Below are 19,612 nucleotides of genomic sequence, written 5' to 3' on the forward strand. Positions count from 1 at the left end.
CTCCTGCCTCAGCCTCCTGAGTAGCTGGGATTACAGGCACACACTGTGCCTGGTTAATTTTTGTATTTTTAGTAGAGAAGGGGTGTCACCATGTTGGTCAGGCTGGTCTCAAATTTTTTTTTTTTTTTTTTTTTTTTGAGACAGAGTCTTGCTCTGTTGTCTAGGCTGGAGTGCAGTGGCATCGAACTCTTGACCTCAAGTGATCCACCCGCCTCGGCCTCCCAAAGTGCTTGGATTACAGGCATGAGCCACTGTGCCCGGCGATGTGGGACACATTATCATCTCTGTGAGAGATTTTTGGTCTCTTTTGTCACCGCCCTTCTCTCCCAGCTCCTAGAACTGGGCCTGGCTCACAGTAGGTGCTGAATGCATACTGGTTGAATTGTAAATGCTCAGGATTTGTTTAATTAAGGATGCAGGAAAGGTGATATACCGGTGTGCAGAAGTCAGGATGCATTCCCTGTCCAAATCACAGTGTTCCACTGAGGCAAGGCCCTTGGGAGTGAGGTCGGGAGAGGGGAGGGTGGTGGAGGGGGCTCAGAGACTGGGTTTGTTTTGGGGAGTCTGCACCTATTTGCTGAGTGAATGTATGTGTGTGTGCATTTGAGAGCACACCTCTGTATGATTCGGGTGTGAGTGTGTGTGAGGAAACGTGGGCAGGCGAGGAGTGTTTGGGAGCCAGGTGCAGCTGGGGTGTGAGTGTGTAAGCAAGCAGCTATGAGGCTGGGCATTGCTTCTCCTCCTCTTCTCCAGCTCCCAGCCTTTCTTCCCCGGGACTCCTGGGGCTCCAGGATGCCCCCAAGATCCCCTCCACAAGTGGATAATTTGGGCTGCAGGTTAAGGACAGCTAGAGGGACTCACAGGCCATTCCACCCGCACACCACCAGACCCCCAAATTTCTTTTTTCTTTTTTTTTTTTTTTTTTTTTGAGACAGAGTCTCACTCTGTCGCCAGGCTGCAGTGGCGCGATCTCGGCTCACTGCAACCTCCGCCTCCCAGGTTCAAGCGATTCCCCTTCCTCAGCCTCCCAAGTAGCTGAGACTACAGGCGTGCACCATCACGTCCGGCTAATTTTTTGTATTTTAGTAGAGAGGGGGTTTCACCATGTTGGCTAGGATGGTCTCGATCTCCTGACCTCGTGATCCGCCCACCTAGGCCTCCCAAAGTGCTGAGATTACAGGCGTGAGCCACTGCGCCCGGTCAAGACTCCCAAATTTCAAACTCGCCAGCACCTCCTCCACCTGGGGGAGAAGAGCATAATAACGTCATTTCCTGCCCTGAAAGCAGCCTCGAGGGCCAACAACACCTGCTGTCCGTGTCCATGCCCGGTTGGCCACCCCGTTTCTGGGGGGTGAGCGGGGCTTGGCAGGGCTGCGCGGAGGGCGCGGGGGTGGGGCCCGGGGCGGAGCGGCCCGGGGCGGAGGGCGCGGGCTCCGAGCCGTCCACCTGTGGCTCCGGCTTCCGAAGCGGCTCCGGGGCGGGGGCGGGGCCTCACTCTGCGATATAACTCGGGTCGCGCGGCTCGCGCAGGCCGCCACCGTCGTCCGCAAAGCCTGAGTCCTGTCCTTTCTCTCTCCCCGGACAGCATGAGCTTCACCACTCGCTCCACCTTCTCCACCAACTACCGGTCCCTGGGCTCTGTCCAGGCGCCCAGCTACGGCGCCCGGCCGGTCAGCAGCGCGGCCAGCGTCTATGCAGGCGCTGGGGGCTCTGGTTCCCGGATCTCCGTGTCCCGCTCCACCAGCTTCAGGGGCGGCATGGGGTCCGGGGGCCTGGCCACCGGGATAGCCGGGGGTCTGGCAGGAATGGGAGGCATCCAGAACGAGAAGGAGACCATGCAAAGCCTGAACGACCGCCTGGCCTCTTACCTGGACAGAGTGAGGAGCCTGGAGACCGAGAACCGGAGGCTGGAGAGCAAAATCCGGGAGCACTTGGAGAAGAAGGGACCCCAGGTCAGAGACTGGAGCCATTACTTCAAGATCATCGAGGACCTGAGGGCTCAGGTAAGGGGTAGGAGGGACCTCAACTCCCAGCCTTGTCTGACCCTCCAATTATACACTCCTTTGCCTCTTTCCGTCATTCCATAACCACCCAACCCCTACTCCACCGGGAGGGGGTTGGGCATACCTGGATTTCCATCCGCGCACCTAGCCACAGGGTCCCTAAGAGCAGCAGCTAGGCATGGGAGGGCTCTTTCCCAGGAGAGAGGGGGAAGGGGACAGGGTTGAGAGCTTTACAGAGGAAGTGGACAGCATGGAGGGAGGTAAGGAAAGGCCTGTAAAGAGGAGGAGACACTGGCTCTGGCGGAATGGGGACTATTGGAGGGTTAAGCGGATGTGGCTAAGGCTGAGTCATCTAGGAGTAAACAAGAGGCCTTCCTTTGGGAGGAGCCAATCCAGGGTGTAGGGGGCCCAGAGTGACCAGGTGCACTAGGGAAAAAATGCCAGGAGAGGGCCAGGAAGAGGACTTGTTAGTAGCGACTCACTTCTGGGCAGGCAGGCCAGCCAGCTAGCCAGCCTGCTGAGGCTTCCCAAGAGGGGCAGAGTGCTGGGATCTGGGAATCCAGGAAAGGAGGGAATGGGGTGGGGCTAGATGAAAAGGGATAGGTGTCCAGGGAGAGCCTCTGGCTATTCCTGGGACCAGGAAGTTTTCACTAGGATACATAACACTTTTTACACACTCACCCCACCCATCCCTGGCTTTCTATTCATGGAACAACCTCTCTCTACAATCCCTCCAGATCTTCGCAAATACTGTGGACAATGCCCGCATCGTTCTGCAGATTGACAATGCCCGTCTTGCTGCTGATGACTTTAGAGTCAAGTAAGTTTGGGGGCTAGAGAGCTGGGGGTCCAGGGGTGGAGCTAAGAAGGATCTGCTCCCCAGGCTGGGTCAGTTAGGGGCTCACAGTGGGATCCTGTTAGGTGTGGGTGGATGAGAGTCAGGGTCCATCAGTGTATTCATTTAACTGTTCATTTGTATAACCCCGTTTAAGAATACTGTCCTCCAAGTGCCAAGAATGGTGCTCAGGGGATTACCACCTAATTGCTGACTCAAGTTGCTGGTTTGCAATGGGCACAGAACTTCTCTTAGTAGGTGGCATGAGTTGAGAAGGTTCTGGATCAGAGATAGGGGCCCCTCTGATCACCTCCACTCCTATAGGTATGAGACAGAGCTGGCCATGCGCCAGTCTGTGGAGAACGACATCCATGGGCTCCGCAAGGTCATTGATGACACCAATATCACACGACTGCAGCTGGAGACAGAGATCGAGGCTCTCAAGGAGGAGCTGCTCTTCATGAAGAAGAACCACGAAGAGGCAAGCAGGGGCCACTGGCCAGGCCAGGGATTGAGGGGCCAAGAGAAGTCTGGGTCGGAGAATAGACAAGACAAACCAACTGCAAGTAGCCTTGCTAAGACGTTTAGAAATAGCAGCCTGGGCTCTTCTTAAATAAGACCGTTCTGATGAAGAGCATTCTCAGGGGGTCGAGTACACCCTGGCTCACCTGAATTACAGGTCAAAATGATATGGGTTAGAAAATGAGATGAGAACAGAAGTAGAAGCAGCTAACACTAGGAGCTGGGGGTGATAAAGGAATGACAGCAGATGGAGTTGGCAGCGCTTCCTAAAAGATGGTAGAAGGAGCAGGTTTGTGAAGGGGAGGGTGGATAAAGGAACAGGGTGAAGTTACAGAGAAACCATCAGTGAGTGGGTGGCATTTCTACCCACTGGAGTAGAAAGGCCAGAACTGGCATTGCCCTGAGTGCAAGCCAAGGGGTTCCTCCTGTCTCTTCTCCAACTGTAGGCCTCCTAGAAGAGGCAATCACAGAAGAAAGGCCTTGTTGGAGCTCTGACCCTGAACCCTCCTCACTTTTGCCCCTGTCACCTTTAGGAAGTAAAAGGCCTACAAGCCCAGATTGCCAGCTCTGGGTTGACCGTGGAGGTAGATGCCCCCAAATCTCAGGACCTCGCCAAGATCATGGCAGACATCCGGGCCCAATATGACGAGCTGGCTCGGAAGAACCGAGAGGAGCTAGACAAGTACTGGTCTCAGCAGGTGCGTGAGGGGAGGGGATGGCTGCCAAGGTGTGGGAGGGAGGCAGACGGAATGAGGGGCCTGATGGACTGTCCCCATCCTGCAGATTGAGGAGAGCACCACAGTGGTCACCACACAGTCTGCTGAGGTTGGAGCTGCTGAGACGACGCTCACAGAGCTGAGACGTACAGTCCAGTCCTTGGAGATCGACCTGGACTCCATGAGAAATCTGGTGAGTGCCTTCACATCACCTGCCCAGCTCCTCCTTCACTTGGCCTCAGACCCAACCCTGTCTCAACCCAAATCCTATCCCTCATATCATGAGTTCCTTTAGCTCAGAAAGAGTCAGTTTCCTCTTTGCATTTCCCTCCACTCCTATCCCTTATCCCAGTACTTGGCACATAGCAGGTGCCCAAAAAAGTTTCCAAAAGTGAAGGGATGAGCAGTCCTGGGACTCTGGGCTCACCCTGCCCCTCCTCTCTGTGCCCCTGCAGAAGGCCAGCTTGGAGAACAGCCTGAGGGAGGTGGAGGCCCGCTACGCCCTACAGATGGAGCAGCTCAACGGGATCCTGCTGCACCTTGAGTCAGAGCTGGCACAGACCCGGGCAGAGGGACAGCGCCAGGCCCAGGAGTATGAGGCCCTGCTGAACATCAAGGTCAAGCTGGAGGCTGAGATCGCCACCTACCGCCGCCTGCTGGAAGATGGCGAGGACTTTAAGTGAGTGGGGCTCTCCTACCCACACGTGCTGGGATCAGGAGATCACTTCTCCCCAAAGTCTGAGCTTTTGGAAGCACCCCATGTGTCTGTTCACTGGTATCCACTGAGCACTGGGCCGTTGCTCCGTGGGTGCTCCTGTGTCTTCAAGGGAGTAACAGTTACAGAGGTCTCCCCCTTGAAGAAAGCAAACTAAGTATTGTCCCTAGCTGTACTTAGTATGCAAATGAAGTTTGGCCTTGAGTTTCCCTTTTCTGGAGGAAGAGGCTGAGGGTGATTTGGAGATAAAGGTAGAGGTCAGGAGGCTTTTTCCCTCTACCTTTCTTGTCTCCCTTCTACTCCACGGGGCTGTTTATAACTTGGGCTTGGTCTTCTGTTACAGTCTTGGTGATGCCTTGGACAGCAGCAACTCCATGCAAACCATCCAAAAGACCACCACCCGCCGGATAGTGGATGGCAAAGTGGTGTCTGAGACCAATGACACCAAAGTTCTGAGGCATTAAGCCAGCAGAAGCAGGGTACCCTTTGGGGAGCAGGAGGCCAATAAAAAGTTCAGAGTTCATTGGATGTCACTTTGTCTTCTTTTGGCTGTTTTCATTGTGCACAAATGCCCTAACCCAACAGTCCCATCCCTGATCCAGCAGAAACCACCTCTGACCCCTGAGGGTTTCATATAGATTGGGGTGTAGAAGGAAGAGGGATCTGTATTCTTGGAAACACTTCTGAGAGACAGAGGAGGGAGCAGTAGATGTGATGGGTCACAGGCTGTGGGGATCCCTACAAGGGAATTGTGGAATCTTTGCCTTGAAGCGATCTGGTGTTCAAAAGGTCCCTGACTGATCATTAGCAGAAATCTGAACCAGAGGAGGAAATTAGGCCAAAGACAGAGGACAGAGGAGACAGGGAGACACATCTGGCCCTCCCCTACCCTGCTGCTTTATGCCCTTGGCCCACTGCCCAGGGCTTCCCACCCACAGTTTTTTCCTCCAACCCCAGGCCATACTCATCCTCCAAACCTATGGTGCCCTCAACTCTGTTCATTCACTCAACGGAGATATGATTTTTAGGGTGCTAGAGGTCTGGCTAGAAGTTGAGTAAATGATCATGGAAGTTCCCATCTAGGAAAGAGGTGCCCCTGAGTAAGCACCCGTATAGGTAAGGATGGGCATCTTAAAACTAACCGAGGCTGGGCACAGTGGCTCACATCCGTAATCCCAGCAGTGCCACCACACCCGGCTAATTTTTGAATTTTTCATAGAGTTGGGATTTCACTATATTGCCCAGGCTGGTCTGGAACTCCTGGCCTCAAGTGATCCTCCCGCTTGTACCCTTTGGAGTGATTGGATGCCACTTTGTGTCTTCCTTGGCTGTTTTCATACTTGTGTGAAAATGCCCTAACCCAACATGATTACATGTAGATATTCGTTGCAGCAGTTTTGCCAAAACAAAACTACTAAAGATCAAGGCACCCATCACTCAAAGACCTAGGTTAGGTTAATTTTTTTTTTTTTTTTTTTTTTTTTTGAGGCAGAGTCTTGCTCTGTCACCCAGGCTGGAGTGCAGTGGCGCGATCCGGGCTCACTGCAACTGCCTCCTGGGTTCGAGGGATTCTTCTGCCTCAGCCTCCTGAGTAGCTGGGATTTCAGGGGCCCGCCACCATGCCTGGCTAATTTTTGTATTTTTAGTAGAGACGGGGTGTCACCTTGTTGGCCAGGCTGGTCTCGAACTCCTGACCTCGTGATCCGCCCGCCTCGGCCTCCCAAAATGCTGGATTACAGGTGTGAGTCACCACGCCCGGCCTAGGTTAATTTTTAAAATGTTGGGTTAAGGCAAAAAAAATTTTTTTAATTTAAAAATTAGCCAGGCATGGTGACATGTACCTGTAGTCCCACTTAATCAGGAGGCTGAGGTGGAAGGATTGCTTGAGTCCAGGAAGTAAAGGTTGCAGTAAGCTGTGATCATGCCACTGCATTTCAGCCTAGGTAACAGAGTGTGACTCTGTTTCACAAAAAAAAGCTGGCCGGGCACAGTGGCTCACGCCTGTAATCCCAGCAATTTGGGAGGCCGAGGCGGGCAGATCACAATGTCAGGAGATTGAGGCCATCCTGGCTAACATGGTGAAACTCTGTCTCTATTAAAAGTACAAAAAATTAGCCAGGCAGCTGGGTGTGGTGGCTCATGCCTGTTATCCCAGCACTTTGGGAGGCCAAGGCGGGCGGATAACTTGAGGTCAGGAGTTCGAGACCAGCCTGGCCAACATGGTGAAACCCTGTCTCTACTAAAAATACAAAATTAGCTGGGTGTGGTGGCACATGCCTATAATCCCAGCTACTTGGGAAGTTGAGGCAGGAGAATCGCTTGAACCCAGGAGGTGGAGGTTGCAATAAGCCGAGATCATGCCATTGCACTCCAGCCTGGGCAACAAGAGCGAAACTCTGTCTCAAAAAAATATATATATATAATATATATATGTGTGTGTATGTATATATGTGTGTATATATGTATATATGAGTATATGTGTATATATGAGTATATGTGTATATATGTGTATATGTGTATATACATATGTGCATATATGTGTGTGTATATGTGTGTATGTATATATATACATATATACATACATATATATATATATATACATACACACATACACACACACACACATATATATGAAATAAAATTTAAAATCTTGCTGGGCATGGTGGCTCATGCCTGTAATCCCAGCACTTTGGGAGGCCAAGGTGGGTGGATCATCTGAGGTTGGGAGTGGAGAAACTCTGTCTCTACTAAAAATACAAAATTAGCCAGGCGTGATGGCGCATGATTGTAATCCTATCTACTTGGGAGACTGAGGCAGGAGAATCGCTTGAACCAAGGAGTTGGAGGTTGCAGTGAGACGAGATCGAGCCACTGCACTCCAGCCTGGCAACAGAGCAAGACTCTGTCTCAAAAAAAAAAAAAAAAAAAATAGCCATGCGTAGTGGCATACACCTGTAGTCCCAGCTACTTGGGAGGCTGAGGCAGGAGATTTGCTTGAACCCAGCAGGCAGAGGTTGCAGTGAGTGAAGATCGCGCCACTGTACTTCAGCCTGGGTGACAGAACAAGACTCCATCTCAAATAAATAAATAAATAAAACTAAATAAAATAAAATCTCCCCTCTCCACTCCCTAGAAGTAACCACTGTTAAATACCTTTTAAAATTAGACATATACAAGCACATTTCATTATGTTTTATATATGTAAAATTATCCAGCTCTGCATCTTGATTTCTTTTTTTATTTTTTTTTAATTGAGACAGAGTCTCACTCTGTCGCCCAGGCTGGAGTGCAGTGGCACCATCACGGCTCACTGCCACCTCTGCTTCCCGGGTTCAAGCGATTCTCCTGCCTCAGCCTACTGAGTAGCTGGGATTACAGGCACCCACCACCACGCCTGGCTAATTGTTGTATTTTTAGTAGAGACAGGGTTTCACCATGTTGATCAGGCTGGTCTCGAACTCCTGACCTTGTGATCCACCTGCCTCGGCCTCCCAAAGTGCTGGGATTACAGGCGTGAGCCACCATGCTTGGCTTTGATTTCTTAAATTCTACTTTCTTCATTTAACAATACGTCTCGGGGCTGGGCATGGTGGCTCATGCCTGTAATCCCAGCACTTTGGGAGGCTGAGGCGGACAGATCACGAGATCAGGAGATCGAGACTATCCTGGCTAACACAGTGGAACCCCATCTCTACTAAAAATGCAAAAAAAATTAGCTGGGCATGGTGGCGGGCACCTGTAGTCCCAGCTACTCTGGAGGCTGAAGCAGGAGAATGGAATGAACCTGGAAGGCGGAGCTTGCAGTGAGCCGAGATTCCACCACTGCATTCCAGCCTGGGCAACAGAGCAAGACTCTGTCTCAAAAAATAAAAATAAATGAAAATACATCTTGGACACCTTTCTGAATCAGTATACATAGACCTGCCCCATTCATTTGAGTAGCTGCTTAGTACTCTACTGCGTGGAGTACAAATTAATTAACCTAACCTAGGTCTTTAAGTAATGGATGTCTTGATCTTTTTTTTTTTTTTTTTTTTTTTGAGACAGAATCTCACTCTGTCGCCCAGGCTGGAGTACAGTGCTATGATCTCAGCTCACTGCAACCTCTCCCTCCTGGGTTCAAGTAATTCTCCTGGCTCAGCCTCCCGAGTAGCTGGGACTACAGGTGCATGCCACCATGCCCAGCTAATTTTTAGTATTTTAGTAGAGACAGGGTTTCACCGTGTTGCCAAGGCTGGCCTCGAACTGAGCTCAGGCAATCCACCAGCCTTGGCCTCCCAAAGTACTGGGATTACAGGCATGAGCAACCACGCCCAGCCTAAAAGCTTTTTCTTTTCTTTTTTTTTTTTTTTTGACAGAGTCTCACCCTGTCGCTCAGGCTGGAGTGCAATGGCACGATCTTGGCTCACTCCAACCTCTGCCTCCCAGGTTCAAGCGATTCTCCTGCCTCAGCCTACTGAGTATCTGGGATTACAGGCACCCTCCACCATGCCCAGCTAATTTTTTGTATCTTTTAGTAGAGACGGGGTTTTCACCATGTTGATCAGGCTGGCCTTGAACTCCTGACCTCGTGATCCACCTGCCTCGGCCTCCCAAAGTACTCGGATTATAGGTGTGAGCCACCGTGCCTGGCCATCTTGATCTTTAGTAGCTTTGTTTTTGCAAAAAACAGACACCAGCCAACGTTATAGGATGCGCAGCTGACTGAAGGTAAAACAGGAAGTCCCTGGGGAGCCTGAGCAGTACTTGCAGCTGAGTCAAGCTGATCAGAGTAATCCAAGACGATGCACCTGATACGATTAGCCCTCCCATTAGACAATGTCTCACAGTTCCCAGGGTGCTTATGCATTTGATCCTCATTACAATCCTGTGAGGTATGCAAGGCTGTGGGTATTATTGGCTCTGGCTCTGAGAGTTGGATACTGAGGTCCACAGGCATCATGCAACTTGTCTGAGGTCACAGAGCTGGAAGCTTAAAGCAGGAACCACATCTCCAGGTTCCCAGTCCGCAGGTCTTTCCTCTGTGTGCTATAACTTAACTGTGCGGGCTGCACAATAGAATCCCCGGGAAGCTTTACAAACAATACTGAGGCCTGGGTCCCAGCACCAGAGATTCTGATTCAGGTGTTTGGAGGGCAGGACTCAGGGCAAATGTTTGAAAAGCTCCCTAGGTGACTCCAATAGGCAGGCAAGGTTGGGGGCCAGACCCAAGCTGTACCTGGGGTTTGCAGCATGACATTCCTTCCTGATTCAGGTTATGGTTGTGTCAGATTTATTTATTTATTTATTTATTTATGAGACTCTGTCACCCAGGCTGGAATGCAGTGGTGCGATCTTGGCTCACTGCAACCTCCGCCTCCTGGGTTCAAGTGATTCTCCTGCCTCAGCCTCCCAAGTAGCTGGGATTACAGGTGCACGCCACCACGCCTGGCTAATTTTTGTATTTTTAGTAGGGACAGGGTTTCACCATGTTGGTCATGCTGGTCTTGAACTCCTGACCTCATGATCCGCTCGCCTCGGCCTCCCAAAGTGCTGAGATTACAGGTGTGAGCCACTGTGCCAGGCTGGCTGTGCCTATTTTAAACAGCGCACTGCTGGAAAATCCCGAGGCCTCTGGAACAATCCTACTCATTCCCCAGCATGGGAAGATGACTGAGGGGCAGCCTATTTTGTCCCCCAAGCACCAAAGGTTAAAATTATCAATCCCAAGGTTATAACATGGAGTCATCTGTTCCATATTATATCAGTCCTATTTTATCCATTCTCTATCAAAGTGCAACCCAACCCAGATGATAAAATTAATAAATGGTACTGGAAGATACAGAATGGCATATAGTGCCATTTGAGGGAAAAAAGCAACTCATATGTATATACCCTTGTACATGCAAACATCTCTACAAGGAGACAGGAAATTGGAATTCGTGATTGCCTCCGGGGAGAGAAATTGGTAGGGGGGAAACAAGGGGGAAGGAAGACTACTTTACATTGTGTGTCCTTTTATACCTTCTGAATTACTTATTACTAATTACAAAGAAAGCAGGGAAGGATTGTTAACTTTCCTTTTTTTTTTTTTTTTTTTTTTTTTTTTTTTTTGAGACGGAGTCTCGCTCTCGCCCAGGCTGGAGTGCAGTGGCGCGATCTCGGCTCACTGCAAGCTCCGCCTCCCAAGTTCACGCCAGTCTCCTGCCTCAGCCTCCCAAGTAGCTGTGACTACAGGCGCCCGCTACCATGCCCGGCTAATTTTTTTGTATTTTTAGTAGAGATGGGGCTTCACTGTGTTAGCCAGGATGGTCTCGATCTCCTGACACCGTGATCCGCCCGCCTCGGCCTCCCAAAGTGCTGGGATTACAGGCGTGAGCCACCACGCCCGGCCGATTGTTAACTTTTCAATGGTACAGGAATCTACAGAATTCCAGGGAAGGAAATGTTGCTGCTGTCTTTGTTCCACTCTTTTTTATTTCTTTTTTCTTTCTTTTTTTTTTTTTTTTTTTTTTTTTTGAGACAAGTCTTGCTCTGTCACCCAGGCTGGAGTACAATAGCACGATCTCAGCTCACTGCAACCTCCACCTCCCAATTCTCATGCCTCAGCCTCCCAAGTAACTGGGATTGCAGGTGCACACTACGCCTGGCTAATTTTTTGTATTTTTAGTAGAGGCACCATGCCTGGCTCCACCATATTCTTTCAATCAGTCATTCGATAAGTATTTATTGAGCACCTACTGTGTACTAAGACCTGTTCTAAGTCCAGAGAATACAGTGGTGAATAAAACAGACCAAAAAAATCCCTGTTCTTGTGGAGTTTAAATTCTAGCAGATGGAGACATAATAAACGATAATTTAGCAAGTAAATTACAGAGTATGTTAGAAAGAGTATGTGTTATGGGAAAAGATAGAGCAAGGTATGAGGACTCAGCAGTTGGTGGGGTAGGAGTATATTAGTTTCCTATTACTGCTCTAACAAATTACCATAAACTTAGCGACTTAAAACAATATACATGTTATCGGCATGGTGGCTCACGCCTGTAATCCCAGCACTTTGGGAGGCTGAGGTGGGAGGATCACAAGGTCAGGAGATCGAGACCATCCTGTCTAACACAGTGAAACCCCATCTCTACTAAAAATACAAAAAAATTAGCCGGGCGTGGTGGCGGGCGCCTGTAGTCCCAGCTACTCAGGAGGCTGAGGCAGGAGAATGGAGTGAACCTGGGAGGCGGAGCTTGCAGTGAGCGGAGATTGCACCACTGCACCCCAGCCTGGGCGACAGAGCGAGACTCAAAAAACAACAACAACAACAACAACAACAACAAAAACAATGTACACGTTATCTTACAGTTTGTTATCTTACCGTTTGGTATATCAGAAGCCCTATCAGGGCTTCTGCAGAGCTATTTTCCTTCTACAGGTTGTAGGTGGAACTGGTTTCCTTGACTTTTCCAGCTTCTAGAGGTCACCTGCATTCCTTGACTTGGTCCCATCTGCCATCTTTAAAGCCAGCATCTTCAAATCTCTCCCCACTTCCCTCTCTCCTGACTTCTGCTTCCATTATCCTCACATCTCCTTTCTCTGACCCTTCTGCCTCCTTCTTATAAGGATCCTTTGATGACATTAGATTTACCCAGACAATGAGCATAATCTCCCCAACTTAAGATCTTTGATTTACATGGCAAGGTCCCTGTTGCTGTGTAAGGAAACTCACAGGCAAAGAGGGGCGGTTAGGATATGGACATCTTGGGATGGGAGGGGACCATTATTCAGCCTACCATAGGAAGGGGGCAGCAGATTGCAGGATTTTTTGTTTTTGTTTTTCTTTTGAGATGGAGTTTCATTCTTGTTGCCCAGGCTGGAGTGCGATGGCTCAATCTCAGCTCACTGCAACCTCCGCCTCCCGGGTTCAAGAGATTCTCATGTCTCAGCCTCCCGAGTAGCTGGGATTACAGGCATGCGCCACCATGCCAGGCTAATTTTGTATTTTTAGTAGAGATGGGGGTTTCTCCATGTTGATCAGGCTGGTGTCAAAATCCCAACCTCAGGTGATCCACCTGCCTCAGCCTCCCAAAGTGCTGGGATTATAGGCGTGAGCCACCACGCCTGGCCAGCAGATTGCAGTTTTAAGTAGGGCAGCCTGGGCAGGAAGTGACATTGGGCCAAGACTGAAGGAGATGAGGGACCTAGCCTGGCATATCTTGGGGATCAGCAGCGAGGATGGGTCCTGGGTGTATGAGCAGCATCTCTCAGCCCCCGACCTGCACATTCAGGTTTGCCCTTGTATGTACCCTTAGGTCTCCTTGGGGCCCACAGGGCATTGGGAAAGGGTCGACTGCCAACGTACCTTGCCCCAAAGCTCCTCCTCATCCCCCCTGCACCCTGCCACTGAAGGCCCTCACAGGCCACCAGTCTAAGTCCAGCAGCCTCCCCTCTCTCCTCATCTTTTTCAGCCTCTGCAGCACTTGACCCTGATGTCCTTCTGCTCTTGACCTGCACACCACTGCGCTCCGCAGTCCTCTCACCTCTGCCTGCTGCACTTCATCCATCTGCCCTTTAAACACAGGCCTTGCAGGCTGTCCTCAGCTTTTTCTCTTCTTGGGCCTTTTTTTTTTTTTTTTGGAGATGGAGTCTAACTCTGTCGCCCAGGCTGGAGTGCAGTGGCACAATCTTGGCTCACTGCAACCTCCACCTTTGGGGTTCAAGCGATTCTTCTACCTCAGCCTCCCAAGCAGCTGGCATTACAGGTACCCACCACCAGGCAGCTAATTTTCTGTATTTTTAGTAGAGATGGGGATTCACCATGTTGGCCAGGCTGGTCTTGGACTCTTGACCTCAAGTGATCCACCCACCTCAGCCTCCCAAAGTGCTGGGACTACAAGTGTGAGCCACCGTGCCTGGCCATGGACAATCTTATTTTTATTCCCTGACTCTGTTGCTACCTCTGAGCTGGTATCTCAATATTTACCTCCAGCCCTAGCCTCTCTTGAGCTTCAGAACCGTGCTATATTTTCCAACTGCCTTTGTTTCATTTCATCATGTGGCATACTTAGCTATTTATGTCATCTTCCCCATGAGACTGGAAATGCCTTGAAGACAGGTACCCTATTTTTTTGTTTCTTTGGTTTGTGTTATTGTTTTTTGTTTGTTTGTTTTGTTTTGTTTTGAGACAGTTTCACTCTTGTTGCCAAGGCTGGAGTGCAATGGCGTGATCTCAGCTCACTGCAACCTCCACCTGCTGGGTTCAAGTGATTCCCCTGCCTCAGCCTCCCAAGTAGCTGGGACTACAGGCATGCGCCACCACACCCAACCATTTTTGTATGTTTAGTAGAGATGGGGGGTTCACCATGTTGGCCAGGCTGGTCTCAAACTACTGACCTCAGGTGATCTGCCCACCTCAGCCTCTGAAAGTCCTGGGATTCCAGGCGTGAGCCACCGCACCCAGCCTACCCTGTTTTCTTCATCCTGGTGTCATCCTGGATTGGTCATATAACAATGGCAATTACCATAATAACCAGTATTTGGTTTTTTTTGGGGGGGACAGAGTTTCACTCTTGTCACCCAGGCTAGAGTGCAATGGCACGAACTCAGCTCACTGCAACCTCTGCCTCCCAGGTTCAAGTGATTCTCCTGCTTCAGCCTCCCAAGTAGCTGGGATTACAGGCGTGCACCACCATGCCTGGCTAATTTTTGTATTTTTAGTAGAGATGGGGTTTCACCATGTTGGCCAAGCTAGTCTCAAACTCCTGACCTCAGGTGATCCACCCACCTTGGCCTCCCAAAGTGCTGGGATTACAGGCATGAGCCACCGCGCCTGGCCAGTAACCAGTATTTACTGAGCACTTTCTATGTGTCAGGCACTGTGCTAAGCACATTACATATATTAATTCACTTAATCCTAACAACAACCCTATGAGACGGATAGTATTACAATCCTCATTTTACAGGTGAAGAAACTGAGGCTCAGAAAGGTAAACTACCTTCCTTAAGGTCTCACAGCTAAATAAATGGCAAAGCCAGAATTCAAACCCAGGCAGTCTGGCTGCAAAATCCAAAGGCAGTAGTTGGAATGGATTGGCATTCAGCTCCATTCCAAATTGGTACCTTTCTGCTTCAGAAACCAAAGAGCTAAAAAGTGCATTTCCCAGATGTCCTTGCAGCTAGGAAGTGAATTATGTCGCACTAATTAGATGCAGATGAATACGATTCGGAAAGTGGAAGTGAGGTGAAGACCCTCCTCTGCTGCTTTGATTGTTCCTGCTAGCACGTCTGGTCATGAGGCTGTGGGATTTTTCTGGAGCAGTGTCCAGTGTCCAGTCATTTGCTTTGTAGGTATTGAGTATTGTGAGACAGTTGAACCACAAGGAGCAGTAGTGGTTTCCTGATCCATGGATCACAGCTGCAATTTGTGTTCATGGGTTCAGTCAGCTTCAGGATCCCCACCAGCTAGAGTAGTTTATTTCCTGCAACTAGAATTCAGGATGATACCTTCAAGGAAGGGATCTGAGAGTGGATATCTGAAGTCTCAGTTATCACATGTAATGACAAAATGAATAAATTAATTTACTACCTGGGATCACCAGGAATGACTGGCCTATTGAAGGTAAGGCTTTGGCAGGCTACACACTGTTGAGATTAAATCGTTATGGTGGGGAAAGGAAATCAAAGGCCCTGGTGTGGTCTGCCTGCTTAACTGCACTGGTGAGCTTAAAGAATTAAAAAAAAAAAAAAAAAAAAAAAAAAGGCCGAGCGTGGTGGCTCACATCTGTAATCCCAGCACTTTGGGAGGCTGAGGTGGGCGGATCACCAGGTCAAGAGTTTGAGACCAGCCTGGCCAACATGGTGAAACCCCGTCTCTACTAAAAATACAAAAATTAGCTGGGTATGGTGGCGCATGCTTGTAGTTCCAGCTACTCAGGAAGCTGAGGCAGGAGGATCACTTGAACCCGGGAGGCAGAGGTTTCAGTGAGCTGAGATCGTGCCACTGCACTCCAGCCTGGGCAACAGAGTGAGACTCTGTCTCAAAAAGATAAATAAATAAATAAACAAGAAAAAAATGGCCAGGTAAGGTGGCTCATGCCTGTAATCCCAGCACTTTGGGAGACCAAGGTGGGCAGATCACGAGGTCAGGAGTTCGAGACCAGCCTGGCCAACATAGTGAAACCCCATCTCTACTAAAAATACAAAAATTAGCCAGGCGTGGTGGTGCACACCTATAATCCCAGCTACTTAAGAAGCTGAGGCAGGAGAATCGCTTGAACCCAGGAGGTGGAGGTTAGAGTGAGATGAGATCACACCATTGCACTCCAGTCTGAGCAACAGACAGAGACTCCGTCTCAAAAAAAAAAAAAAAAAATTCATTTAACTTGGCCCAGGAATTTGGGTGGCCGAGGCAAGCGGATCACTGGAGGGCAGTTCGAGACCAGCCTGGCCAACATGGCAAAACCCCGTCTCTCCTAAGAATACAATAAATGAGCCGGGAGAGGTGATGCACCCCTGTAATTTCAGCTACTCGGGAGGCTGAGGCACGAGAATCGCTTGAACCTGGGAGGCAGAGGTTGCAGTGAGTGGAGATGGTGCCACTGCACTCCAGCCTGGGTGACAGAGCGAGACCCTGTCTCCAAAAGTAAATAAATAAATAAACAAAGATTCATCTGTGTTGTTGCATGTAACAGTAGTTCCTTTTTTTGTTGAGTTATATTCCATTGTGTGCATGCACTGCCATCTGTTTATCTATTCACCAGCTGAAAAATGTTTAGACTGTTTCCGATTTGAGGTATTTATGAATAAAGTTGCCATAAACACTCAATGTATGGATTTTTGCGTTTTCATTTCATTTTTCTTGAGTAGTTTTCATTTCTCTTGGGTACCTAGGAGTGAGATGCTGGGCCATGTGGTAAGTGGTTGTTTTTTGTTTGTTTGTTTGAGACAGAGTCTCGCTCTGTCACCCAGGCTGGAGTACAGTGGCATGGTCTCGGCTCACTGCAACCTCTGCCTCCCATGTTCAGGCAATTCTCCCACCTCAGCCTCCCGAGTAGCTGGGATTACAGGCATGCACCACCACGCCTGGCTAATTTTTTAGTGTTGGGATTACAGGCGTGAGCCACTGCGCCTGGCCAAGAGTATCTTTTATGTACAACTATTATGTACCCGTAAAAATATTTTTGAATGAATAAATTTATTTTACTCATAAAAAAACTGAGGCCCAGAGGGTGACTGACTCAAGGTCACAGAGATAGTGACAGGGCTGGGACAAGGATTCAGAGTGTAGAGCTTCTCAGCTTTTCTCACTCTGGTGGGTGACCCAGACCACGTGCAATGGGAATGTTGCTGACTTCATCTTCCTTCATCAAGAGTTGCTGGGGCTTCCCCAAGGGCTGGGAGTGGAGAGAGGCCGCAGGCCAGGGCCAGGGACTGGGTGGAGCTGGGAGTGAGTGTCTGTGCACGACCCTTCTCATCTCTGGTGAGCATAACCAGATTGGGACAGGCCTTCAGAGAAGGAAGGGGCAGGGGCAGTCGTGGCACCTGGGAAGAGGACACTGGAATTCTGTGCTCAGCTTACAATAATATCAAACCTTATGTAGCACTTACCCTGGGCCAGATAGGGTCCTAAAAGCTTGACATATATTAATTCATTTAATCCTCCCAACAATCCCAAGAATGCACTCTCTTTAGCCCTATTTTAGGAGCGAGGAAATGAAGGAGCTGAGAGGTTAAGGGACTTGCCCAGGAACGCCAGTTCGCCAGTGGCTTGCCAGGGATTTGAGCCTGGAGAGTCTCACTCTCTGTCCGCATCTCAGTCGCGCTGATCTCGGCCACACGTAGGTCCATAGGCTGGTCCTCCCTCACGAGTGGCCTCCGCGAGCCCCTGGCCCCTGGAGCGCCCTCCTCCCAGCCACCAGACCCTCTGAGGCCTGACTCCTGGCTAGGCGGGGCTAAGGGGCGAGGAGAGCTGGGGGACAAAGCCCCTTTACGTCGGGGTGGGATTCCCCTTAAAGCCACTGCCAAGACGGAACAGGATGGGGGACAGAGAGGGACTGGGGGAAGGCGCCAAAGCCCGGGACCGAGGAGGAGAGGGGAGGAGGTGGACTCTACTCGAGGGAGGATCCGAGGGCGGGCAAGCGGAACCCTCCTCCTTAAAGATCTCGCAGTGAGGTTAGGGAGCTGCTCCCCGGCTCTGGGAAGCCGCTATCCTGCCCATACCCTCCTTTCTCTCCGCTGCTGCCCCTGCCTCGCTCCCGCGCGCTCCCATTGGGTGGTGCCTGGGTGTCCCCGGCTCGGCAGCTGCGGCTGCTTCCCAGCCCCGGGGTCTCAGGGCCGTCCCGCCGGTCCCAGGGCACCGCTCCTGTGCCCCACGCCGCCGCTTCCCCAGTTGCCCCCTGACTGCAAGAGTCTCCTGGTTTTCGGCTTGTCCTGGGACTCCTGGGAGAGCCCACCGAGAGTTCTGGGGCACCTGCAACCTCCCTCGTCTCCTAAGAGGGTGGGGGAGTTCTTTTCTAAATATCATAAACCTCAAGGGGAAAAACCAAGGGGTGTATGTGTGCACGTTTGGGGTAATATTTGAGTATTAAAAAACAACCTTCCTCCCAAAATAAATATATGAATAATAAAAAATTAGCCTGCCTTGGCCGGGCGCAGTGGCTCACGCCTGTAATCCCAGCACTTTGGGAGGCCGAGGTGGGCGGATCACGAGGTCAGGATATCGAGACCATCCTGGCTAACACGGTGAAGCCCCGTCTCTACTAAAAATATAAAAAATTAGCCGGGCGTGGTGGTAGGCGCCTGTAGTCCCAGCTACTCAGGAGGCTGAGGCAGGAGAATGGCGTGAACCCGGGAGGCGGAGCTTGCAGTGAGCCGAGATCTCGCCACTGCACTCCAGCCTGGGCGACAGAGCGAGATTCCGTCTCAAAATAAATAACCAAATTAATTAAATTAAATTTAAAAATTTAAAAAAATTAGCCTGCCTTGGTGGTGCGCACCTGTTATCCCAGCAACTCGGGAGGCTGAGGCAGGAGGACTGCTTGAGACCAGGGGTTGAAAAACAGGCTGGGCAACAAAGTAAGACTCCATCTCTACAAAAAATTTTAAAATTCACCTGGCGTGGTCGCGTGTGCCTTTGGTCCCAGCTACACAAGGGGCCCAGACGGGAGGATTGCCTGAGCCCCAGAGGTTGAGGCTGCAGTGACCCATGTTTGCACCACTGCACTCCAGCCTGGGTGACAGAGTGAGATCTTGTCACAAAGATAAATAAATAAATAAGTAGAATGCAGAGCAATGAAACCCTCATATGTTGCTGGTGGGAATACAAAACGTGTACAACTACTTTGGAAAACAGTTGGGCCGTTTTTTCTAAGTTTAAAAATACACCTCCCAGCGCGGTGGCTCACGCCTGTAATCCCAACACTTTGGGAGGCTGAGGCGGGCGGATCACGAGGTCACGAGTTCAAGACCAGCCTGGCCAATATGGTGAAACCCTGTCTCTACTAAAAATACAAAAAAAAAAAAAAAATAGCCAGGCGTGGTGGCATGCGCCTGTATTCCCAGCTACTTGGGAGGTTGAGGCAGAAGAATTGCTTGAACCTGGGAGGCGGAGTTTGCAGTGAGCTGAAATCTTGCCATTGCACTCCAGCCTTGGGCAACAGAGCAAGACTCTGTCTCAAAAAAAATAGTAATAAAAATAAAAATATACTTACCAGCTCGGTGTGGTGGCTCACACCTCTGATCCCAGCACTTTGGGAGGCCGAGGTGGGTGGATCACCTGAGGTCAAGAGTTCGAGACCAGCCTGACCAACATAGAGAAACCCCGTCTCTACTAAAAATACAAAATTAGCCAGGCGTG

At 50.2% G+C, this 19,612-nt stretch overlaps 2 protein-coding genes across 4 annotated transcripts in view, besides 37 other annotated features; one reads left to right on the forward strand and one right to left on the reverse strand.

Moving 5' to 3' along the window:
- Window positions 1-2,273, reverse strand: part of KRT8 (keratin 8) — a 52,670-nt gene extending 50,397 nt beyond the window's left edge. Inside the window, exon 1 of one of the 2 annotated variants that reach the window (NR_045962.2) lies at window positions 1,869-2,273. The gene's annotated coding sequence lies outside the window, so the exon portion shown is untranslated. The remainder of the gene's footprint in view (window positions 1-1,868) is intronic. The other variant, NM_001256293.2, reaches the window with a different exon arrangement.
- Window positions 178-472: a silencer, noted in NCBI's record as "tiled region #294; HepG2 Repressive non-DNase unmatched - State 2:TssF". NCBI's record gives its function as "represses a minimal TATA promoter and a strong SV40 promoter by Sharpr-MPRA in HepG2 cells {active_cell/tissue: HepG2}" and the evidence as "EXISTENCE:reporter gene assay evidence [ECO:0000049][PMID:27701403]".
- Window positions 178-9,119: a biological region, named in NCBI's record as "KRT18 locus control region". NCBI's record gives its function as "regulatory_interactions: KRT18".
- Window positions 452-1,294: a locus control region, noted in NCBI's record as "5' portion of locus control region". NCBI's record gives its function as "regulates integration site-independent and copy number-dependent expression; required for tissue-specific expression of KRT18" and the evidence as "EXISTENCE:transgenic organism evidence [ECO:0001131][PMID:7692231]".
- Window positions 452-9,119: a locus control region, noted in NCBI's record as "8.5 kb fragment; contains enhancers and other regulatory elements for tissue-specific, copy number-dependent, and integration site-independent expression". NCBI's record gives the evidence for it as "EXISTENCE:transgenic organism evidence [ECO:0001131][PMID:7681143]".
- Window positions 765-1,588: a DNaseI hypersensitive site, noted in NCBI's record as "HSS a, b and c; the nucleotide coordinates are approximate for this feature". NCBI's record gives the evidence for it as "EXISTENCE:in vivo cleavage assay evidence [ECO:0001075][PMID:7680099]".
- Window positions 863-1,237: an enhancer, noted in NCBI's record as "Alu2 element". NCBI's record gives its function as "enhancer (PMID:7667273) or enhancer blocker and insulator (PMID:10625605)" and the evidence as "EXISTENCE:reporter gene assay evidence [ECO:0000049][PMID:7667273]".
- Window positions 863-1,237: an enhancer blocking element, noted in NCBI's record as "Alu2 element". NCBI's record gives its function as "enhancer (PMID:7667273) or enhancer blocker and insulator (PMID:10625605)" and the evidence as "EXISTENCE:reporter gene assay evidence [ECO:0000049][PMID:10625605]" and "EXISTENCE:transgenic organism evidence [ECO:0001131][PMID:10625605]".
- Window positions 926-1,519: an enhancer, noted in NCBI's record as "NANOG-H3K27ac-H3K4me1 hESC enhancer chr12:53342297-53342890 (GRCh37/hg19 assembly coordinates)". NCBI's record gives its function as "activates a minimal SCP1, AML or CMV promoter by ChIP-STARR-seq in primed H9 embryonic stem cells {active_cell/tissue: H9 hESC(primed)}" and the evidence as "EXISTENCE:reporter gene assay evidence [ECO:0000049][PMID:30033119]".
- Window positions 928-1,202: a mobile genetic element.
- Window positions 1,119-1,129: a promoter, noted in NCBI's record as "RNA polymerase III promoter B box element". NCBI's record gives its function as "required for expression of associated Alu element; activity promotes copy number dependent expression of KRT18 gene" and the evidence as "EXISTENCE:transcriptional activation assay [ECO:0000170][PMID:7692231, PMID:10625605]".
- Window positions 1,119-1,198: a promoter, noted in NCBI's record as "RNA polymerase III promoter, including A and B boxes". NCBI's record gives the evidence for it as "EXISTENCE:transcriptional activation assay [ECO:0000170][PMID:7692231, PMID:10625605]".
- Window positions 1,132-1,153: a protein binding site, noted in NCBI's record as "includes three HREs (hormone response elements); consensus sequence AGGTCA". NCBI's record gives its function as "promotes enhancer activity" and the evidence as "EXISTENCE:protein binding evidence [ECO:0000024][PMID:7667273]".
- Window positions 1,207-1,289: a promoter, noted in NCBI's record as "Lazarus element". NCBI's record gives its function as "cryptic promoter in the absence of the canonical promoter, or a positive regulatory element in the presence of the intron 1 enhancer" and the evidence as "EXISTENCE:reporter gene assay evidence [ECO:0000049][PMID:9756890]" and "EXISTENCE:transgenic organism evidence [ECO:0001131][PMID:9756890]".
- Window positions 1,207-1,289: a transcriptional cis regulatory region, noted in NCBI's record as "Lazarus element". NCBI's record gives its function as "positive regulatory element in the presence of the intron 1 enhancer, or a cryptic promoter in the absence of the canonical promoter" and the evidence as "EXISTENCE:reporter gene assay evidence [ECO:0000049][PMID:9756890]" and "EXISTENCE:transcriptional activation assay [ECO:0000170][PMID:9756890]".
- Window positions 1,230-1,349: a silencer, noted in NCBI's record as "silent region_4487". NCBI's record gives its function as "represses an Ori minimal core promoter by ATAC-STARR-seq in GM12878 lymphoblastoid cells {active_cell/tissue: GM12878}" and the evidence as "EXISTENCE:reporter gene assay evidence [ECO:0000049][PMID:35858748]".
- Window positions 1,268-5,319, forward strand: KRT18 (keratin 18). 2 transcript variants are annotated; one of them, NM_199187.2, is made up of 8 exons: window positions 1,268-1,351; window positions 1,586-2,003; window positions 2,741-2,823; window positions 3,163-3,319; window positions 3,894-4,058; window positions 4,144-4,269; window positions 4,532-4,755; window positions 5,135-5,319. In NM_199187.2, exons 2-8 carry the CDS (start codon window positions 1,587-1,589, stop codon window positions 5,253-5,255), a joined length of 1,293 nt encoding a protein of 430 aa, NP_954657.1. In that variant the 5' UTR covers window positions 1,268-1,351; window position 1,586; the 3' UTR covers window positions 5,256-5,319. The 2 variants fall into 2 exon arrangements, with proteins under 2 accessions (NP_954657.1, NP_000215.1); NM_000224.3 differs by lacking the exon at window positions 1,268-1,351 and having other exon boundaries at window positions 1,531-2,003.
- Window positions 1,360-1,439: a silencer, noted in NCBI's record as "silent region_4488". NCBI's record gives its function as "represses an Ori minimal core promoter by ATAC-STARR-seq in GM12878 lymphoblastoid cells {active_cell/tissue: GM12878}" and the evidence as "EXISTENCE:reporter gene assay evidence [ECO:0000049][PMID:35858748]".
- Window positions 1,465-1,500: a protein binding site. NCBI's record gives its function as "stimulates promoter activity" and the evidence as "EXISTENCE:protein binding evidence [ECO:0000024][PMID:7537848]".
- Window positions 1,480-1,529: a silencer, noted in NCBI's record as "silent region_4489". NCBI's record gives its function as "represses an Ori minimal core promoter by ATAC-STARR-seq in GM12878 lymphoblastoid cells {active_cell/tissue: GM12878}" and the evidence as "EXISTENCE:reporter gene assay evidence [ECO:0000049][PMID:35858748]".
- Window positions 1,499-1,560: a promoter, noted in NCBI's record as "minimal KRT18 promoter". NCBI's record gives the evidence for it as "EXISTENCE:reporter gene assay evidence [ECO:0000049][PMID:7537848]".
- Window positions 1,520-2,113: an enhancer, noted in NCBI's record as "NANOG-H3K27ac-H3K4me1 hESC enhancer chr12:53342891-53343484 (GRCh37/hg19 assembly coordinates)". NCBI's record gives its function as "activates a minimal SCP1, AML or CMV promoter by ChIP-STARR-seq in primed H9 embryonic stem cells {active_cell/tissue: H9 hESC(primed)}" and the evidence as "EXISTENCE:reporter gene assay evidence [ECO:0000049][PMID:30033119]".
- Window positions 1,937-3,136: an enhancer, noted in NCBI's record as "CDK7 strongly-dependent group 2 enhancer chr12:53343308-53344507 (GRCh37/hg19 assembly coordinates)". NCBI's record gives its function as "activates an origin of replication core promoter dependent on BRD2, BRD4, P300/CBP, MED14 and CDK7 cofactors, with strong dependence on CDK7, by STARR-seq in HCT116 cells {active_cell/tissue: HCT116}" and the evidence as "EXISTENCE:reporter gene assay evidence [ECO:0000049][PMID:35650434]".
- Window positions 2,003-2,748: a DNaseI hypersensitive site, noted in NCBI's record as "HSS d, e and f; the nucleotide coordinates are approximate for this feature". NCBI's record gives the evidence for it as "EXISTENCE:in vivo cleavage assay evidence [ECO:0001075][PMID:7680099]".
- Window positions 2,048-2,702: an enhancer, noted in NCBI's record as "600 bp sequence in intron 1". NCBI's record gives the evidence for it as "EXISTENCE:knockout evidence [ECO:0001091][PMID:7526151]" and "EXISTENCE:reporter gene assay evidence [ECO:0000049][PMID:1696235, PMID:7537848]".
- Window positions 2,191-2,214: a silencer, noted in NCBI's record as "N-gamma negative regulatory element". NCBI's record gives its function as "decreases reporter gene expression in F9 embryonal carcinoma cells" and the evidence as "EXISTENCE:reporter gene assay evidence [ECO:0000049][PMID:7526151]".
- Window positions 2,304-2,403: an enhancer, noted in NCBI's record as "E100 fragment". NCBI's record gives the evidence for it as "EXISTENCE:knockout evidence [ECO:0001091][PMID:9756890]" and "EXISTENCE:reporter gene assay evidence [ECO:0000049][PMID:1696235, PMID:7526151]".
- Window positions 2,322-2,368: a conserved region, noted in NCBI's record as "conserved region". NCBI's record gives its function as "required for enhancer activity" and the evidence as "COORDINATES:sequence alignment evidence [ECO:0000200][PMID:1696235]".
- Window positions 2,330-2,339: a protein binding site, noted in NCBI's record as "blocked by DNA cytosine methylation". NCBI's record gives its function as "promotes enhancer activity" and the evidence as "EXISTENCE:nuclease protection assay evidence [ECO:0001106][PMID:7508123, PMID:7526151]" and "EXISTENCE:protein binding evidence [ECO:0000024][PMID:9271368]".
- Window positions 2,348-2,354: a protein binding site. NCBI's record gives its function as "promotes enhancer activity" and the evidence as "EXISTENCE:nuclease protection assay evidence [ECO:0001106][PMID:7508123]".
- Window positions 2,438-2,456: a silencer, noted in NCBI's record as "N-alpha negative regulatory element (Nalpha18)". NCBI's record gives its function as "decreases reporter gene expression in F9 embryonal carcinoma cells" and the evidence as "EXISTENCE:reporter gene assay evidence [ECO:0000049][PMID:7526151]".
- Window positions 2,438-2,456: a protein binding site, noted in NCBI's record as "N-alpha negative regulatory element". NCBI's record gives the evidence for it as "EXISTENCE:protein binding evidence [ECO:0000024][PMID:7526151]".
- Window positions 2,560-2,574: a silencer, noted in NCBI's record as "N-beta negative regulatory element (Nbeta15)". NCBI's record gives its function as "decreases reporter gene expression in F9 embryonal carcinoma cells" and the evidence as "EXISTENCE:reporter gene assay evidence [ECO:0000049][PMID:7526151]".
- Window positions 4,343-4,943: a DNaseI hypersensitive site, noted in NCBI's record as "HSS g; the nucleotide coordinates are approximate for this feature". NCBI's record gives the evidence for it as "EXISTENCE:in vivo cleavage assay evidence [ECO:0001075][PMID:7680099]".
- Window positions 4,558-4,738: a transcriptional cis regulatory region, noted in NCBI's record as "construct 10 fragment for positive regulatory element in exon 6". NCBI's record gives the evidence for it as "EXISTENCE:transcriptional activation assay [ECO:0000170][PMID:7680099]".
- Window positions 4,596-4,629: a transcriptional cis regulatory region, noted in NCBI's record as "33 bp K19/K18 substitution region". NCBI's record gives its function as "promotes expression of KRT18 in liver and intestine" and the evidence as "EXISTENCE:knockout evidence [ECO:0001091][PMID:9346889]" and "EXISTENCE:transcriptional activation assay [ECO:0000170][PMID:9346889]".
- Window positions 4,618-4,624: a protein binding site. NCBI's record gives the evidence for it as "EXISTENCE:nuclease protection assay evidence [ECO:0001106][PMID:9346889]".
- Window positions 5,471-9,119: a locus control region, noted in NCBI's record as "3.5 kb portion of locus control region". NCBI's record gives its function as "required for copy number-dependent, insulated expression in liver" and the evidence as "EXISTENCE:transgenic organism evidence [ECO:0001131][PMID:7681143]".
- Window positions 17,312-17,955: an enhancer, noted in NCBI's record as "H3K27ac-H3K4me1 hESC enhancer chr12:53358683-53359326 (GRCh37/hg19 assembly coordinates)". NCBI's record gives its function as "activates a minimal SCP1, AML or CMV promoter by ChIP-STARR-seq in naive H9 embryonic stem cells {active_cell/tissue: H9 hESC(naive)}" and the evidence as "EXISTENCE:reporter gene assay evidence [ECO:0000049][PMID:30033119]".

Source organism: Homo sapiens, chromosome 12 (genome assembly GCF_000001405.40).
Source record: "Homo sapiens chromosome 12, GRCh38.p14 Primary Assembly".
Classification (NCBI taxonomy): domain Eukaryota; kingdom Metazoa; phylum Chordata; class Mammalia; order Primates; family Hominidae; genus Homo; species Homo sapiens.

Excerpts from the sequence above, each read along its gene's own strand:
- KRT18 (NM_199187.2), top strand. The coding sequence starts at position 1,587 with ATGAGCTTCACCACTCGCTCCACCTTCTCCACCAACTACCGGTCCCTG. Across the intron at positions 3,320-3,893 it reads TGAAGAAGAACCACGAAGAG|GAAGTAAAAGGCCTACAAGC; the intron begins GCAAGCAGGGGC and ends TGTCACCTTTAG. Across the intron at positions 4,756-5,134 it reads GAAGATGGCGAGGACTTTAA|TCTTGGTGATGCCTTGGACA; the intron begins GTGAGTGGGGCT and ends CTTCTGTTACAG.